General features: G+C 37.2%; 1 long non-coding RNA gene across 1 annotated transcript in view; it reads right to left on the minus strand.

Moving 5' to 3' along the window:
- The window catches only part of LINC01748 (long intergenic non-protein coding RNA 1748), a 106,970-nt gene that overhangs the window by 57,366 nt on the left and 29,524 nt on the right, over positions 1-20,080 (minus strand). The window contains exon 4 of the long non-coding RNA NR_146508.1: positions 14,956-15,081. This is a non-coding gene — a long non-coding RNA (long intergenic non-protein coding RNA 1748). The remainder of the gene's footprint in view (positions 1-14,955; positions 15,082-20,080) is intronic.

The raw sequence follows: 20,080 nt of genomic DNA on the forward strand, positions 1-20,080 counted from the left end.
TACTCTAAAGTCATAATTAGATGCAGATACAATTGTACACTTAAATATGGAAGGACATAATTATTGGTATATGAAGGGACATAGGAATAAATATAGACATGGATGAATGGTGAAATCATAAGCTAGCTCCTGGTCACTGCAAGTGTTCAAGTGGAGACTGAAGAGTCATTATTTACAAAAGAACAAGTTGTACCAGGAAATGCTCTGAGTTTCTAATTTTAAATTTGCAACGTAATGACAGAGTCAGGATGCTTACCCACTGTTGGATACTTTCAATTAAGTTTTCATGTCAGGGCTAGGTTGGATATTTTGCATCATATGGAGGCAACACTCTGCAGGAAGAAGCATGGACTTCAGCATCAAACACACATGAGCTTGAACTTTCAGCTCTACTATTCTACTATCTGTTGGCATTAAGCCTGTTGATTCACCTATTTTAATTATTCAAACGGGGTCAATATCCCTAAAAGGACTAAATTAGGTAATAAAGTAACTGGCACATAGTAGATAATGACACTTTCCTTCCCAGCATTTTTTTTTTTTATTCTGAATACCCCCTGTACACTCTAAATAAGGTTCTCACCTTAGGTTTTCCTCTTCATCCTTCCATTTTCTTCATCAGGAGCAAAATTAAGTTTCTATCAAGTGCTCACTGACATTACCCTGGCATCTGAACTATCCAATGTGACATACACAAAACTTTAATGTGTAGACATGCTAATCAGAAGGGAAATGTCAAATCTGCATACATTTCAAATGACCCAACAATATTTACCTTAGAGCTACGTCTCCTATTTTTCTGACAATTGCCTCATTGAGGAAGTGACTCATGCAGCATACCAAGCCCCATTCCATCTGAGAACTTTACCTCCGACTGGTTTGAAAGCATCAAAAAGATGAATGTCACTGCCTTGCAGTTAGTAAGGAGGCTAATTTGATTTGACAAATGATGCTGATTTTGAAGGGGTCACTAATCATTAGAACTACCGAGGACAAAGAGTGCCTTGAAGCTGGATAAAAATTGAATATTTAAACAGTTTGTTATGCAAATTTACTTTCTACCTGTCAGGAGTGTGTAAAGCACAGGGTTAGAGAGTTTGTGGTAAGGCCATCCCTAGGCTGATGACTTCTCTGCACAGTCTGTCCTCACCACCCAGAGGTCTAGTGGCCCAAAGCCCTTGGATCTGCAACTCCTGCTCACCCAGGTGGAGGGTGAGGTGAGCACAGCTCCACAAGGAGTTCAGAGCCTCCACTTCTCAATCTCTCACTATCCCTTCTCCATGGCCATCAAAAAAATGAAGAGTGAGCTGAGTTAAAATCCAGTTCACCCGAAATGCCAACTTCCAGATTAGCAAATAACCCCTCATGGCCCCAAAAGAGAGAAATCCGGAGCTTTATGAAGGCTACACTGACATTCTCAAGGAACCTCAGCATTTTGAAGCAACAGGGCCTCCTTCTTGTCTCTAGTATCTACAGAAAAGCCTTTGTCTCCATAGCTACTCATTCTCCATTTTAATTAGAGGCTTTATTTTGTTTTGTTTGTTTTGTTTTGAAGTTTTATTATAAGTTCAGGGGTACATGTGCAGGTTTGTTTTATAGGTAAACTTGCATCATGGGGGTTTGTTGTACAGATTATTTCATTACCGAGATATTAAGCCTAGTACTCATTAGTTATTTTTCCTTATCCTCTTCCTCCTCCCACCCTCCATCCTCAGGTAGGCCTCAGTGTGTGTCGTTTCCCTCTATATGTCCATGTGTTCTCATCATTTAGCTCCTACTTATAATTGAGAACATGTGGTATTTGGTTTTCTGTTTTGCATTAGTTTGCTGAAGATAATGGCCTCCAGCTCCATTCATGTCTCTGCAAAGGACATGAACTCATTTTTTTTTAATGGCTGCATAGTGTTCCATTAACATCCTCATTCCAACTGATCATTAGAGAAATTCAAATCAAAACCAAAATGAGACACCATCTCACATCAGTCAGAATGGCTATTATTAAAAAGTCAAAAAATAACTGATGCTGGTAAGGTTGTGGAGAAAGAGGAATGTTTATACACTGTTGGTAGGAGTGTAAATTACTTTAAGCATTTTAGAAGACAGTGTGGTAATTCCTCAAAGACCTAAAAACAGAAATGCCATTTGACCCAGCAATCCCATTACTGGGTATATACCCAAAGGAATACAAATTATTCTATTACAAAGACTCATGAATGCGTATATTCATTGCAACACTATTCACAATAGCAAAAGCAGGGAATCAACCTACATGCCCATCAGTGATAGACTGGATAAAGAAAATGTGGTTTCTTTTGTTTTTAATCAAAAGTATCCTCAAGGATATTTGCTTCCTCACATATGCCCCACACAGTGACTGCCCCTTTGTACTCACTCACTGAGAAAGTCCTTTGTCTTTTTTGGTCACACTGCAGCCCTCTGTCCACTCTGTACTCTGTGTGACGTGAGGGCAACATTCAGCCCCTTTTCATTTAGGTTTTCTCAAACATTGCCATGAAAATGAAAGGTTTGACCCCAAAGCCCAAACTTAGGTTTCCTGACATTGGGCAATATTCCTGTAACATTGCCTTGAGCATTTCCATATCTGTAGTAGGGCAGAGGTAACACATGTTAATCTCACTTCCCATATTGTGTTTCCTACACTCAATTTATGATCATTGAACTGGTTGTGGAGGGCCTTCTGAGCCATTGTGAGAAATGGAGCACTACCCTGAGTGAGATAGGAAGCCAAGGGAGAGTTCTGAGCAGTTTCTTATTTTAAAGCTTGTGGACAACACTATTTCTTCAGAGGGCCATTGTGAAATAATGTATGTAAAACACATAGCACAAGGCCTGTTACATAATTAGTACACAATAACTGTGCGCTGCTGCCTTTATGAACATTAAATTCATAGCCGCTTTACCTTGGCCTTTTTATTTTATTTTACTTTTTCTTTTGGTGTAAGGGAGGGTACATTATAAATTGAACAAATGTCCTTGCTCTTGTAAGACTGATATATATTTCTGAATAGTCTGACAAAAATCTAACAGTTCTAGACTACACATGCTTTTAGCAACTGAACCAAAGCCAGATTCTTGTTTTTAATATCTTCACTCTGGGAGCTAAAAGAACATCTTGTGACTAAAGGGAAGTTAAAGCCCAGTATGATTGGCCTTTGCCCGTTAATTCAATTAATAAATGTATATGGAACACACCTATAAGGTACAATGGCTTTGAAACCAAAAGTCCTGTTCAAACGTCAGCACTGCTTTTTATGTTATTGTGTCTGCGAACTTGTCACTAGATTTCTCCAAGTCTGTTTCCTCACCTTCAAAATGGGAACACTTTAAAAGAGGCTTCGTTGTAGGAATTTAAAAGACAAAAGAATATAGTATCTCTCAGTGGGCAAGATCAAAGATCATAGAATAATAATAATTTTTAAAGTGTGCCCATCATGTAGGTATCTCTAAATGAACAAATAAAATAATTTGAATCAAAGTTATGCTACCCTAAAAATTTTAATTTTGACAATTCAACATCTATTAGTATAATAACCCTGCTAATCCTTGCAGAGGATATAAACTTAAATAATGTCTGGCTTAGCTAGGGCATTTCAGGGCATGGTCGCAGCTCAGCAAAGCATGCTGTGTAATACATCAAGAGGTAACTCTAGGTTACGACCTCAGGTCTCATGGAGCTGGTATCTAAACCAATCCATCCCACAAGCCCATATTTTACTATTGCTAATCCTTACAACTATTATATAAAGTAATATCATTATCTCTATTTTACACGTGAGAAAACTGAGGTATACTAAGGTGAACTCATTTTTCCCATGTTTTCCAGTTGGAAAGTGGTAGGGCTAAGTGCTCATTTCATTTAATTTCAACAAGGATTTGTACAGTACCTACTCTGATACTGTCCTAGATGCTCTAGTTATAACAGTGAAGGAAAAATCACCAAGCTTTTGTCGAAGATTTCAGCCCAGATCTGACCTACTCCAAAAGCTGAATCTTTCCACCAAGCCCACTGCTTCATTGCATTGGTGCTATATGGAGAGATAAACCTGACCCCAATTCAGTAAGTTACGATGTTCCCATTATGCCATTTTTATTCCCTTTATGATTTAATCAGAACACTTGCTTAAATTAAAATATAGCTTAGTCATGCATCTGATCTTCTTTCCCCTAACATTTTTTTCATGGAGCTGTCAGTTTTGCAAACTGGCTTGATTTACAGATATTTTATCCAGAAATAAATTGAATTAACAATTTAAAATGCAGAACAGAAAAGGCTGCCAGTGTGCTAATAGCTCCATTTCCCTGATTAAGAAGGCTTTCTCTAAGATGGTATGAAGGACAGAGCCCTCTTTGGCCTAAAACTCATTTTGACAACGGTCTTGGAATAAATAGATTCTAGAAGAACACTGCCTTGTCTCAGGAACAGACATCCACCCCAGATCCTGTGGCCAAACTAACCTTCAAAAATATTACCTTGTACGTTTACTTTGGTCATAAGCTTTTGGGGTTTTCTACACTTACAGAGAGAAAAGAAAAAAACCCTAAGATTGCCATTCAAAGTCACCAATTTTTCTCTAACTTCTTTAGTCTTATTCCCTCCCTCCTCCTGCCACCTCCCTGAGTCCTCAGGAGCAGCAGATTGGAGTTTGATGCCCCACTCTGTTACAGATTAGAGGCGCTACCTTAGCCAAGTCACTTTACCTCTCAGAGTTTCAGTTCCATCTTTATTCTTTAAAAGGAGACAGTAAAATTTGTTCTCTGCTCCTCTTAGATCTGAGGAGAGGCTCCAATGAGGCAAAAGGTTTTGTAAATTGTACAATGGATAAGCCACCTTACAGGATCTGCACCACCCATAATTATCTATGCTTTTTTCCATACACATTTCTCTTCCAAGGCATTTCTCCCTTTCTGCAACGCACATGCTCCCTCTTCCCCCATCTATACAAATAAGAGCTTGTCTTTCTTCAGGGCCCAGCTTGAGCCTGACCTCCTAAAAGAAGTCAGTTGTCCTAACTGTCCTAGCCCTCAAGAATCTCCTCCCCCAGTGACTTGTCATGGTTTCTCTCATTTGGCACTTGGCCTTGGCTGCCTTTATGTCCTCATTCCTTAGTATCTCAACAGTTAGCTTGTAAACCCCTATAAGTGAGTCTCTTAGTACATTTTGGGCTGCTATGACAGAGTACTCAAATCTGGGTAATTGATAAAGAGCAGATTTTTATTTCCCTATAGTTCTAGAGTTTGGGAAGCCCAGGATGAAAGTGCCAGCATCTGGGCAGGGCCTTGTTGCTGTTTCCTCATATATTGGAAAGCTGAAGGGCAAGAGAGTGTGTGCCCACTCCCACAAGCCCTTTTTATAGCAGCGTTAATCCATTCTTGAGGGCTCGACCTAAACACCTCCCCAAACACTTCCCAACACTGTTTCACTGGGGATTAAGTTTCCAATACAGGAATTTTAGGGGGCACATTCAGACCACAACAAGGAGAGATTTCATTTTACACTAATTTATATTAATATATAACACTAAGATTCACATTCAGCTAGCACTTACTGAATGCCCACTGTGTGCCTACTCTGTGTCAAGGGCAATTATAGATGCATTCTCATTTGCTGTCTCCTGTACCTCTCATAAGAAACTCATTACTAATTCTTCACATTTTACACAAATAGAGACAGAGGTTCAGAGGAGTTAACTCTTCATTGTTCAGTATCTCACAGGTAGTAAGTGGCAGGACTGAAAACTTATTTCAGGACAGATTTCAAAGCCCATGTTCTTTCCACCAAATTATGCCATCTTTTTTATTAAGTGTCGACTGATCCTAATTGTATGATGGTAGGTAACTGGGGCATCAAATGGGGTCTCTAGTAGCTCAGAGCACTAACCATCTGGACCTGATTATAATTGACCATACGGATTCATATCTGACTATTCATCCTATAAATATATTTCTCTACGGCTTTTATTTTTTACATAGTTAAGCACATAAAAAGCAAGAAACACAATGTAGAATAAAATGTATAATTCAAACCTTAAATTCCCTTCTTATCATCAGTATAATTTTGGTTACTTTTACATCCTTGTGTCCCAGTTCCCTCAAATGAAAAATGAGAATACCATTACCAACCTTACGGGGTAGTGTGAGGATTAATTGAGATGTATAAACTGAAATATACAGTTGTTATAAAAATTGTGGGAAATGCATAGGAATCATGTCCAGTAATAGCTCCCTAATTCTAACTTTGTGCTTGTGCCAATATCAGGTGAATATTCCTTGTAAAATCTCTGAATAGAAAATATTCTAGGCAATAAGAGGGCACAGAAATTTTTATAGAGACAAAAATGGTAAGAACTACTTATGAAAAACCAAACTCTTAGAAGAAATCTGTAAAGATTTGTAAAAAACTTGTATTCTATTCTGCTTTCTGTTACTAGAAGATTTACAATATAGGTTTATATGTTGTCTAGGAGGCTATAGAGGCCATTCTTCAATAGGTCAAATTTACTTACATATTTAACATTACTAAGTACACATGACTAAGTATGCCATTGGCCGAAAGGGGTGGAAGAGACAGGGGAAGGAGAAGTCACAAAGATAAGTGATATCTTCTCTCTGCCATCAAAATAACTCATATTTTAATGATGTGGCCAGCCACGTAGAGTACTTAGAAAGGAAAGGAGTCCTGTGGACTTGGAGAGGAAGAAACTTTCCACTTATAAACACAACATGGGGCCAGCATCAGGAAGAAATGTTTCCATTACAACACCTGGTTAAATTGCTCTACAATTTCATGTTTATCTGCTTCAATTTTTTAACAATTTATATCAAACTCCCATAGAGATAACTCATAGGAGCAGAGTAAATCCAGTTCCAATAGAAATACAGAGACCAGACTTGTCTACTTGACTTCCGTATTAGTCTGTTAGGGCTGCTATAACAGAATTCCACTGACTGAGTGGCTTAAACAATAGGAATTTATTTTCTCACAGTTCTGAAGCTTGGAAGTCCGAGATCAAGGTGTCGGTGGGGTTGGTTTCTGGGGAGGCCTCTCTCCATGGCTTGTGTGTGATGGCCTTCTCTCTGTCTTCACATCATAGCCTTTCCTCTGTGGGCTCACATGCCTGGTGCCTGGTGCCTCTTTCTCTTCTCATAAGGACACCAGTCCTATTAAATTAGAGTCCCAACCCTGTGACCTCATTTAATGTCAATTACTCCTTAAAGGCCCTAGCTCCAAATACAGTCACATTGGAAGTTTGGGTCTCAACATATGAATTTGGAGGGGACACAGTTCAGTCCAGGAGAGCCTCCTCGTTACCTCTCACATGGTCTGTAAGGTGTTTTTCAGAATCCCTAAGAATCTACTAGGGGAAAAAAAAAAAAAACATGAAAATTGCTAGTCCATATCATTAGTAATAACTTTCTCAAATCATATCAAATCTCATAATGGAATGACCATTGTTTCTCATTGTTTGCATTGTTTCTCATTGTTTGCATTGTTTGCATTTCTTTCTTCTTACTTAATCTAAGTCAGAAATGAAGACAGAGAAGTTAGGTCATATGAAATTGGATCAGTAAGAGATCGTTGGCTTAACAAAATGTACCCACTTTGAAGAACATTTTCTCTGGACTTGGCTGGACTGACTAGGTCCTCACAGCTTTTAGACTCTATGATGTTGAGCTTTTCCACACTGTCTGCAACACCCCAAAAATGTCCAGTGTACATAGAGACAGGTGCAAATGAGCTCATTTCACCTTCCTTTCTAGGAGTTTAGGTCAAACTTCTTTATTGGCTGGAAAGAAACATCTTTTTTGACTTACCCTTAGCATCATCCACTAAAATAAGACATTACAGAAAAAAGATGCTCAGTCTTGGTGAAATGTCCATTTTCAAGTATACATACACCTTCACAAGATCTCTCTCTTTCAGTCTCTCTCCACACCCCCTCCACTGTCTGTCTGTCTCTCTCTCTCTCTCTCTCACACACACACACACACACACACAGCTAGAGTCTAAGGCAATATTCAACACATTTAGGAAAAAAACTGTCTAATAAGGAACTCTCTAAGGAGATTACTTAGCTAGTTTTTACCTACTCTGGCCATGATAATTTTGACTATTCAGTTAGTCTCTAACTATACAAAATAATACTTGAAAATTGTTTTTCCCAGAATTTACCAAAATAATAATATGATTTGTTATAGAAATGAGAGTGGGGTGGGGGGTACTCCAGGCAGAAGGCACAACGTAAACAAAGGTGAGGAAACAGGAAACATAGGATGTACACAAAGAACAAGTTTTAACTTTGACAGAAAGAATTGAGGATGACAAAAGGGCAATAATGATTTTTTTAAAATTTGCTTTGAAAGAATGAATAGAGTCAGATCATTAGGGGCCTAGAGGCTAAGATAGGCAGTTTGACTAATTTTTTCTAAGCGCCAGAGAATGATGAAATGTTTTCAGCAAAAGCAGTATGCCTGGAACTCTGCTATAGGAAAATTAACACAGTGGGTATGTGTGGCATTAATCAAAGAAGGAAGAAAAAGTTGAGGAAATCACCTAGAACTCTAATGGAAAATGTGACATAACAGTTAGAAAAGCAGGAAGCAGCAAAGTGTCAGTGGAACCACAACACTGTGAATTTTAACTTTATCATTTTCCACCTATTTATTAGAGACCTGCAAGGTCTCTAGCACAAAGCAGTTTATCATTTTGTTGAGAAATGAATCTGAATCATGTACTCTGTAAGACAGATGTATAGAAATGAACTCTGCAATCTGTTAAGTGAGCCTAGCTAAATGCCCAATAACCATAGCTTAATACAATGTACTCCACATCCTCACATACACAGAGGCAGTAGGAGTTAGTAGACAAATCTTGACTCAGGAACTATGCAAAACAAAAACACAATGACTCCCACTCAGCTGTGCTAGGGACGTCAGGGGCTGATATGAACAAAATAAATATCCCACGATCAGACAGCTTCACACAAAGGCAAAAGAGCTGATTGCTGCCACCAGGTGATTCAAGAAGTTCCAAAGCACACCATTCTAAAAATCTTTTTCTGGCCGGGCGCAGTGTCTCACGCCTGTAATCCTAACACTTTGAGAGGCTGAGGCAGGCGGATCACAAGGTCAGGAGATCAAGATCATGCTGGCTAACACAGTGAAACCCTGTCTCTACTAAAAATACAAAAAATTAGCCAGGTGTGGTAGTGGGCGCCTGTAATCCCAGCTACTCGGGAAGCTGAGGCAGGAGAATGGCATGAACCTGGGTGGTGGAGCTTGCAGTGAGCCGAGATAGCGCCACTGCACTTCAGCTTGGGCGACAGAGCAAGACTCCACCTCAAAAAAAAAAAAATTTTTTTTCCTAACAGCCTGCATGAAAATGTCACATTAAACTCCTTAAGGGAAGGCCCTTGTGAAAATCCAAATCCATACCACTATTTATAAATGACACACTATTTATAAATGACACTAACAGGATAGGGCTGCACCTACGCAACATTTTGCTCAAGATGGCCTGTGGCACATCAGGGAAAGTAATCCCAACTAAGCTAGGAGAGGGTTCATAGTCACATCAAGAAATGGTCAGTTACACACTTAAAGATGGGGATTATATTTGAATGTACTGTCCAGTGTAGCTTGGAAAAAGTGAATTTTTTTCAAATACCACAAATGATGTTAGTATATCAGAGACTCATTTCCATGTCTGTTGATCTCTCTTTTTCCATTCCTTAACTGTCAGCCTTTCATGTCTATGTACTTTGGATGGCCCTTGTAAACTGTATTTATCTTAGGTTTGTATACATAGCCACCCTCATAATCTTTGTCTTTCAAAAGGGGAGTTTAGTTTATTTACATTTACCATAACAATTATTTATTTCAATTTATTACTATGATGTTATTGTGTACTTTCTGTTTGGCAGGGCTTTTCTATGCTTCTTTTAATTTTTTTCCTGCCTACTTTTACACTGATTATTTCTCTCATTCAGATTTTTCTCTCTATACTCTATACATTTCGTTTTTTAGTTTTTACTCTAGAAATGTAACATGCATACTTAGTTTTCCAAAGTCCTAATTTTATCGATAACTTTATGCTTCTTCCTATCACTACTCACCAAATTTATATAGAGTATTTGCCATGTGTTTTCATTTTCCACTGTTTTATTTTAACTCTGCTAAAATATTTTTGTTTTACACTATCAATGTTTATTTTGTTATCAATTATTATTGTCACTTATCATTTCATCTTATAACTCAACCTTTGATTAAAGGTAACTTCTGTCAGCCGGGCATGGTGGCTCATGCCTGTAAGCCCAGCACTTTGGGAGGCCGAGGCAGGTGGATCACAAGGTCAGGAGATCAAAACCATACTGGCTAACACAGTGAAACCCCATCTCTACTAAAAAACAAAAAATTAGCCAAGCACGGTGGCGGGCGCCTGTAATCCCAGCTACTCGGGAGGCTGAGGCAGGAGAATGGCATGAACCTGGGAGGCGGAGCTTGCAGTGAGTCGAGATGGTGCCACTGCACTCCAGCCTGGGCGACAGAGCAAGACTCCACCTCAAAAAAAAAAAAAAAAAAAAAGATAACTTCCGTTTCCTTGAAGTTTGGAATTTCCTGTAATAAGGATCTCTTGGTTAAGATTTTGTTTGAAGATAACTATACTTAGCATTTATTGTTGAAAGATATTTTCATTGGTTATACACTTCTGAGTTGATAAGTATTTTCCCTCAGTATATGAAAAATGTCGTCCCACTGTCCTCCGCCTTCCATTGTTGCTATTCGGAAGTCAGCTGAGTGACTTACTAGTATTCTTTTGTAGGTAGTCTGTTTTCCTCTGGCTGTTTTAAATATATTTTCTGACTCTTTAATGCTCTGGAATTTTACTAGAATATGAATTTTACTCCAGTTTTGGCAGTATGGATGTAGGTGTAGATTTATTTTCATTTATCCTGTTTGAAATTAATTAGGCTTCCTGAATGTGATAATTTTTGTCTTCTTTAAGTTCTTGAAAATTTCCAGCCAAAATTTCTTTAAACATTTTCTTTCCTCATTCTCTCTTCTCTTCTTCTCTGACCAAATATTTGTTATATCTCACTCTAGCCATGTCTTTTCTCCTCTTATCTACATTTTTTCATCTTTTAGTTTCCCTATGCTGCTTCAGATTCAGATATATAGTTTAGTTTAATTCTCTCCTCAGCTATATCTAATGTGCTATAAAATTGTCATTGAATCTTTATTGTAAATGTTATTTTCCATGTTTATACATTTCTTGGGTTCTTTTTCAAATTTGCTTGGTCATTTTTATAGTCTGTTCATAATTAATATTTTAATATCCTCCCTTATTTAAGCTTATTTTAGTAAATTGGATTGCTGTTCATGAAATATTCATTCTCCTCTTTCCCGAAACATGCAGGAGGTTTCTCCTTTGCACCATTGACGCTGGAGTTGGCAATGACTTGCTTTTCCAATGAAATGTGAACAGACATGACATATGCTGTGTTTGAGCAAGGTTTTAAATGTGCTTGCCTTACTTGGCTTGGTCTCTTGCACTACTGCAACCCACCATAAGAAAAGCATGCCCCATGTAGCTGCTATGCCTTTCACCTGAGTCCCAAAATAAGAAGCACATGGAACAGACCTAAAGCCAACCTTCAACTTGAACTCAAGCTCAGAAAATCCCATCAGCTCTCATAAAAACCAAGCAAAGCCATACCCTACCTACAAATCCCTAGCAAAAATATAATAATTCTTATTTTGGCAAGCCTCTGAATTTTTAAATCATTTGTTAGACACAGAAAACAGGTTTATGCTTATGTGTTTTATATTCTCCCTAATAATTGTAATATCTGAAGTGTTTTAGGTTCAGTCTGATTCTTTTATCTGTAGTTTCTGCCAGCTGTCATGGTGTTCATTTGCTTCAGTGTTTTTTAATTTTTAACTGAGAATTTATATTCCTTGAAACTAGATATTTATTAAGCCTAGTTCAAGGACTTCTGCAAAGAGTTGTGACATTTGTTTCTGTCAAGCATTTTTGGATACTATAAATCTAGGACACTTTTAACTTAGTTATCAAATTGAGAGGTTGTTGTTTGTTTGTTTGTTTTGTTTTTAGCAACTCAGGTGGTGTCAATTTTGCCTACACATTTCAATCATTGCTAATTTTTAGTTAATATTCTTAGGATAGATAGCTTTTTTCCCCAACAAACACAAAAGATTAAGACACTTCTCCTTGCTGTTTTCTCAGAGTAAGGAAGTTTAGACTTCATCAAACAATTCACTGCAAGGCATTCTCAGTTATAAGAAGGGAAAAGTCCTCATATTAGGCTTGATCTCTTGTCCATGATGCTTTCAAAGCCATGCAAGTTAAGGTTACCAGTCTTCGTCAATTACCTTCAGAGCAAAAGCAGTAAGCAGAGCTACGTTTATCTTTCTGAGTTCCTATTTTCATGTTGATTTTCATCTCCTTCCTTTCTTGATAGCTAATAAAAAAGACTCACATAAAACCTGTAGCTTCTAGTTGTTTTCAGCAAAAGGGTCAATTAGATTATCTAATCTGCCATATAACTAAAACTGGACTTTCCCACTTGCATTGTCTTTTGTGTATTTGTTGAAATATCTCATCTTCAAATGGCCTCATCTGTTTTCTTTGTGTTGTTCAATTATTCATGCAACAACCATTTATTAAGTGCCCACAAGCAATGCGGTACTTTTTAGGTTCTGGAGATACATAAGCAAACAATGCAGAAGAAATCAGTATCCTCATGGGCTGATAATTTTGGGGGGCGGTTTAAAAATTTAATTCTGTACTATAATTTTATAAAATCCAAGGAAGAAAAGGGAAATAAACATGAGTGACCAGTAAGTGACTGTTAGCTAGAAATTTCCCCAAATGCTATTCAATTTCTACCTCTTTTATTGAGTTTAATACATCCTGTTTGGTATTCACGTTCTTATGTACTTGTTAAATACTCACGAAATATTTCATTATACAAATGAAAACACTTTGTTACCTTTGATTAGCTAAGAAAATATTAGGTATCATTTATATTTCAGTTGCTACTAAGTTATAAACTTAGTAGAGGCATATATCAAAAAAAGTATATCAAAATTATCATGTAAAACAACACTTTTCACTTAGCAAATGTCAGAGAATTTTTTTTAATTAAAAGGCACCACCGACAAGGTGAGGTAAGGCAGAAACATCTGGAGATCCATCATACACTAGAACTGCAGGGACCAGAGCAGAGACTGAACAAAACACCCTCAGTTTACAGATAGATCAAATGCCAAGACCAGAAAGGTGATACTACTTACCCAAGGTCTTATAGCTATTTAATAACACAACTGGGGAACTGGGGCCAATATTTATTTTAGTATATGGAAATGCAATAGAGTTTTTTTAATACTGATTTAGCTATTGTGCTAAAATATTTTATTATTTCTAATATTTTGCCTGTAAAATGCTTTTGAACTTTCAAAGTAGATGATCAGATCATCTGCAAATAATGTAGTTTTACTTCCTAATTTCCAGTCTTTGTGATCTTAATGTATTTTCCTTTATGGGTTATACTGCCTGGAATTTGAATGCAAAATCTTTAACTAAAGAATACTAAATTCATTTTTAGTACTATCGATTTTCAATGTTATTATTGGTATTGATACTATTATAATAGGAAACACCTATATAGTAGTTACTATGTTCCAGGCACTGTTCTTTGTCCTCACAACAACCCTATCATTCTCTCCATTTTACAGGGAAGGAAATTGAGGAAGTACAAATAATTTAACTGACTTCTCTAAGGTTATGCAGTTAGTAAAAACAGAGACAGAACTGAATGTTGGCATTTTGGCTTCAAAGTATATATTCTTGATCTTTAAGTCCACTAGATTTATCCACTTTATTCTAAATTTTGAGAGGCTAAAGAAACCTATCAGCCCAAATATTTTATCATACTACATAATCTTTCATATCATCTTCTCATGTTTTGAGGTTGACTTTGTAGCTTGCTTTAAACCGCGTAAAGACTGGAGATTGTTGTTTCATCAGTAACTTTATTATTCAAAGAAGTTCTAACACAGCCAGAGCATACATTTCAGTTGTATTTTACATGTCTGCATGGTAGCTAAGTTATTTGGTAAGAATTTTTCATTTTTAGTTCTTAATATAGTTGAAGACCTTTAAATATGAAGAGAATCTAGAATTGTTCTATAGACTTCAGCCAAACAAAACCTCTTATGTACAGTAAAAGGATACATTTCCAATATAATCCTTTTATTACAGAAATGACCACACTCAATTTTATTAGTGTGTTTACACATTTATTTCTGAGACAGTGATTTTTCTGGGGGCCTGGGTTATATCTTTCATGTTTCATCCTTGATGTCTATCATATAGTGCCTGGCTTATGGCAGATACTCAATAACTTTGCTGAATGAATAAAAGGCAACAACCTGTGGCACATTTATAATTATCCCTATTTGGCAGATGATGAAAAGAAGTTTACTAGAATTCATGTGACCTCCAAGGTTACAGAATTTGTCAGTAAGCAGAAACAGGATTCAATCCTCAATTTTCTACCCAAAGCCACACTTTTTCAACTAAACCACAAAATGCATAGAAAAGGATTTACTGTATATATTCACAGCTAGTCCATGACTAAAAATCTTGTGGCTTCCTGTGTCATTTGCATAATAAAACTAAAAGTATAAAGAAATAGAATGGAAATACTAAACCTTATGTCAAATTTATAAACTGATCTCTAAAACCAGTTTATTTTGTAAATATAGTAACATATGTCAGAAAACCGCTCAGGCTTCTTTTTCTACTAGAAAAGTCTTTATGTTTTTCTCAAAAATGACATCCTTTGCCAACTCTGAATATGACATAGTGTTAATGAAAATCTATGCATATAAAAATTTCAAATTCATACTTACATGAGAAAATCATGAAGAATTGGAGATACGCCAAAATAGCAAAGGCAGGCTAAACTTGGTCTAATTTCAAAGCAGAAGAAGTAATCAAATCCCAAGAAATTAAGATGTGTACGTATAATTTTATTCCTGGCAAGAGAAATGGTCATAAACATATTTTATTAGCATGCAGAAAAAGTAAGTTGATCACATGGAACCATTATGGGTTCACTTGGAATAGATTCTCTCAAACCTCAGGATAATACCATAGAGAAAGTGAACCTGACATGTAACATGATCTCTGACATGTAACAAAATATCCCAGAATCTGTCATGTAACAAAGTCTAATGCCACATTACAAAGCCTCTCATGATACACCTGTGAACAAGATGAGGCCTTCGGAATTTGCTATAACATTGAATAATAGTTGGTGCTATAACTGTTATTAACACCATAATAATAGTTGGTGGTATACAAGGAGTTAACAACAAACTTATTGCTATTAACTCCTTGTTGTCATAACCATTAGGTCAGTGGATCCAGCTTTTCTGGGAATGAAGAGAAATAGTGAAGAGGGGAAGGAATTTTCAAGAAAATAGCAAAAATATGGAGTGAAACTAGCTGCTTCAGGGACTACATCAAGAGGCACATCAGTTCAAAGCAGTTCTAGATGAAATATCAAGAATCAGAGAAGTATTACCTTTGAGGACTGACAGGGTTGCAACTTCAGAAGCAGAGAGGGGAAAAGGTAGAAGATTTCAACACAGACACATATCCCATCCAGACACAAGTCACAAGATAAAAAATGCCAGTTGCATCCACTTCCTCCCAACTCCCATCCTAGAAAACTGCTGTGGTATTAAACAGAAAAGTCAGCTCTCCATAATAAAGAAAACACTATGCTCATCTCCATACTCATGAATCTAACTGCTTACTCAAACATCTAGACCTCTATCCTCATCTCTATACTCATGTATCCAAGTGCTTACTCAAACATCTCCACTCGGATGTCTGGCAAGCATCTCAAAATCAATATGTCCAAAACTGAATTCTGTTTTCCCCCTGAAACTTGCTCCATCCACAGTCCTTCCCATCACAATTCTAACAACTTAATCTTTCCAGTTGTTGATGTCAAAAACCTTGAAGTCATGCTTGACATTCCTTTCCTTTCATGTAACAGCCAATCTGCCAGGAAATCCTGTCAGATCTACATCCAAAATGCACCGAGAATCTGGCTAGTTCTAATTACTGTTATCATCCCCAACCAAAGCACCAAAAACTTTTCTTGGGACTCTTACAACAACTTCCTCGTAGATGTTCCTGCATCCAGGCTTGTTTGCCTATAGTATGTTCTCAGTACAAGTGCCAATGCGATCCTTTTAACACTTGAGTCAGATCATTTCATTCCACTGTCCACTTTAACAGCTCTCCATTTCACTCAGAGTAAAAGCCCAAAGTCCTACAAAGCCTATAAACCCACATAGCCTGGTCCCTCATTAATTCTCTGACTCCTATTACTCCCCGTCACTGACTCTGCTCATTGCCAAGGTGCCAGTCTCACTCCCACTTCAGGGCCTTTACTTCATTCCTTCTGCCTGGGATTCTAGCAAATGATTTTCATGACTCACTCCTTCACCTTTAAGACTTTTCTCAAATGTCACCTCATTGAGGCCTCCTTGGTCAGTTTACTTAATACAACAATCTGTCCATCCAGCTCCTGAACATCTCTTATCTCCCTTGTGCCTCTATTGTGCTTTTTCCCATAGTAATTATGACCTTCTAAGAAAATACATTTTTTACTTCTTGATTGCTTTTAGTGCTTACTATCTATCTTCTGCTAGGTAAAGGTCCATGAATGCAGGATTCTTTTTCTGTTTTCTCAGTGGTGTACCACAAACATTTAAAAGGGTGCCTGGCACACAGTCAGTGGTCAATAAATGTTTGTAGAATTAATGCATTTTAGAACTTTTCCACCTACACCTTGTCCCAGTACCCAGGGGTAAGGCAATGAGAAAGCTGCACTCTTTCACCAGGACAGAGAAATTCCTAATATTGAAGAAATCCAAGCAAAAAAGACCAGGACATGAGAACAAGGCAATTCTGGGCTAGTTGCCAGCTGAGAGCATCAGAAAAGCCCTTTAATCCTTTGGCCAGGGAGTGCCAATTCTTTCTATATCTACAGGGTATGATTAGAAATATATTTACACAATGCCTGATTGGTTGTTCCTTGGTCTGGAGGCAGGGAATCCTACACTTGCAATTAATTAATACTCCTTCCCAGTAACTGAGATGAAGTAAGGACCCAACCAGATTTGGCAATATAAAAGATGATTGATTTGTAATCCCAGTACTTTGGGAGGCCGAGGCGGGCGGATCACGAGGTCAGGAGGTCGAGACCATCCTGGCTAACACGGTGAAACCCCGTGTTAGCCGGACGTGATAGCGAGTGCCTGTAGTCCCAGCTACTTGGGAGGCTAAGGCAGGAGAATGGCGCAAACCCGGGAGGCGGAGCTTGCAGTGAGCCGAGATCGCGCCACTGCATTCCAGCCTGGGCGACAGAGCAAGACTCCGTCTCAAAAAAAAAAAAAAAGATGATTGATTTGTGTGTTAATGTCAACTATTTCCATCCAGTTTTACTTCCATGAAAAGACATTAGCACACTCACACAAGATGAACTTAGAATGTTCTAAAAAATCTCTCATGACCACCTACAGTTTTCCTAGGGAATTTCTAAAGACTTACCTCTATGAGCCTATCTCTATGAGCCTAACTCACTTTTCCTAGTTTCTTCTCCCCACATTGGCTATGTTCCTGGCTGCTTCTTTCTTAGATGCCCTTGGGCACTGGCCTTGTCCGTTTTAGAACAGGACCTTATTATCTCTTTTCTTGGATAGCCTCTTAAACATTACCAAGAGGAACCACACTATCCTTAAGTCATATTGGATATCTGAAATTCCACCTTGTCATAATTGTTCCACATCCAGCCCCAACTGGATGAGAATAAGAATTTGACAGCCGAGAAGCCATATTCCAGTGGTTTCTACTATCTTTTAATTTGGTCCAGTCCCTTTCAACATCTTCCCTCAATGACTTCTATAATTACATAAATAACATGTTTGTCAAATTTTTAGGTGACAAACAGTTGATAAAAATATCTAATATTTTAGATAATAGGCTCAAGACTCCAAAATAACTCCTGCAATTTAATGAACAGGCCAAAATGAATAAAATGCCTATTTATGGAGATAATTAGGCCAGTGTGTGATACATAGTGGCATTCTATAAAAGTTTGTGGAATTATAAAATGAATAAATTGATGCAGACTCTTCTACTGAGATTCTAAAAATTAACTGCACAAGTTCAGGATGAAGAATAACCTAGAATAAGAGCAGTTTCTGAGAAACCAGATTTACAAGTTTATTGGATACCAAGTGCCTTATAAGTCAGTTCTGTCAGAAAATAGGGCCATTGCTGTTGAGAGCACACCAACAACTAATGTGTCAGTTTGTGAGCTTCACATTTTTTAATTGATATTGACAAATTTGAGAGATACCTGAGAAGAATCATTGCAATATTGAAAGATTACTTGACTTATTCATTCATTAGGTAATCTTGAATGCCTACTCTTTGATGAGCCTTGGAATAGTCATTAAGGATAAATGGTGTTCATATAAGGAGTGACTGATAAAATGGAATATACTGCATATTTTATTTTTATTATTAATATTAAAAAGAGTATTACAGCATTTTTAGTTAATATATATTATTGGTATATTATAATAATACAATAATTACTATAATAAATAAAACAATATATTATGATTTAACAGTATATTATTTTATGCCATATTATGAATATGACAGTATTTCATTTTACTCCATGTTATTAACAAGTAGTAATATCATACGCATAAGTCCATTTTATATGACAATCTTTCCTGTATTAGAATTCCAGTGGAAGCTAGAATGTAACTTTCATAACAGAAAGAATCCTTTATTTCATGTAATTTCCAATTAAATAAAAACTTTCAAATATTTGAGACATAATCTAAATGGCTGGGCGCAGTGGTTCACGCCTGTAATCCCAGCAATTTGGGTGGCCGAGGTGGGTGGATCACCTGAGGTTAGGAGTTCTAGACCAGCCTGGTCAACAAGGTGAAACCCTGTCTCTACTAAAAATAGAATAATTAGCCAGACACAATGGCAGGTGCCTGTAATTCCAGCTACTTGGGAGGCTGAGGCAGGAGAATCGCTGGAACCTGGGAGGTGGAGGTTGGAGTGAGCAGAGATCACACCACTGCACTCCAGCCTGGGCAATAGAGTGAGATCCTATCTCAAAAAAAAAAAAAAAAATATATATATATATATATATATATATTTGAGATATAATCTAAATATGGAATCCTTCCAAAATTTTGCAAATTTCCTGAATCATTATAGTTCTCTTGTTTATACTTTATTTGATGGTAACTCTTTTGTATGCACCTCTATTGAGTTGTTCTGAAGTGTTCAACCCACTTTCATTGTAACAAAAACTGTCCTTTCTTAGTAATATTTTATTAGCTTATAAAATACTTACTCAAATTATACATCTACACTAAGAACTGTAACTGGCATAAATAATTTGGTAAGTAACCCAAGTGACTCTGAAAACATACAACTCCACTCACTGGAGCACAAGTACATGAAAGTACTAGCACCTGATATCGATCAGAATGTTTTACAGAGGGAATGAGGGACAGTATTTAATCCTCTAAATTGGTTAGTCAATTGGTTAAGTGGAAGCTGGTTAAAATAATTCTAACTGAACACTAACCCAGTCTTCTTAGAGATTCCAGAGTTTTCTCTCTAGAAAATGTACCTCAGTATTACGGTCCCCTCCTGAAAGCCCGTTAATGGCCTCAAGATAAAACCAAGCTCCGTGGACAGAATGATATTTGAGAGATGAAATTTAACTTGTCAAGGAACACTTCCCTTCAGGTTATTTTTGATTGAGTTCTGAATATTTTAGAGGAAAATATTAATTATGGAAATAATGCAGGCTTGGATTGATGTTTCCTGCTCCAAGGAGAATTTAGATTTGCCTCTGGCAGTGGCTAGGGGCACTAGCAATGAAACTTCACATTAGGCCGTTTATAGTGATTGAGT

This window comes from Homo sapiens, chromosome 1, assembly GCF_000001405.40.
Source record: "Homo sapiens chromosome 1, GRCh38.p14 Primary Assembly".
NCBI classification, from domain to species: domain Eukaryota; kingdom Metazoa; phylum Chordata; class Mammalia; order Primates; family Hominidae; genus Homo; species Homo sapiens.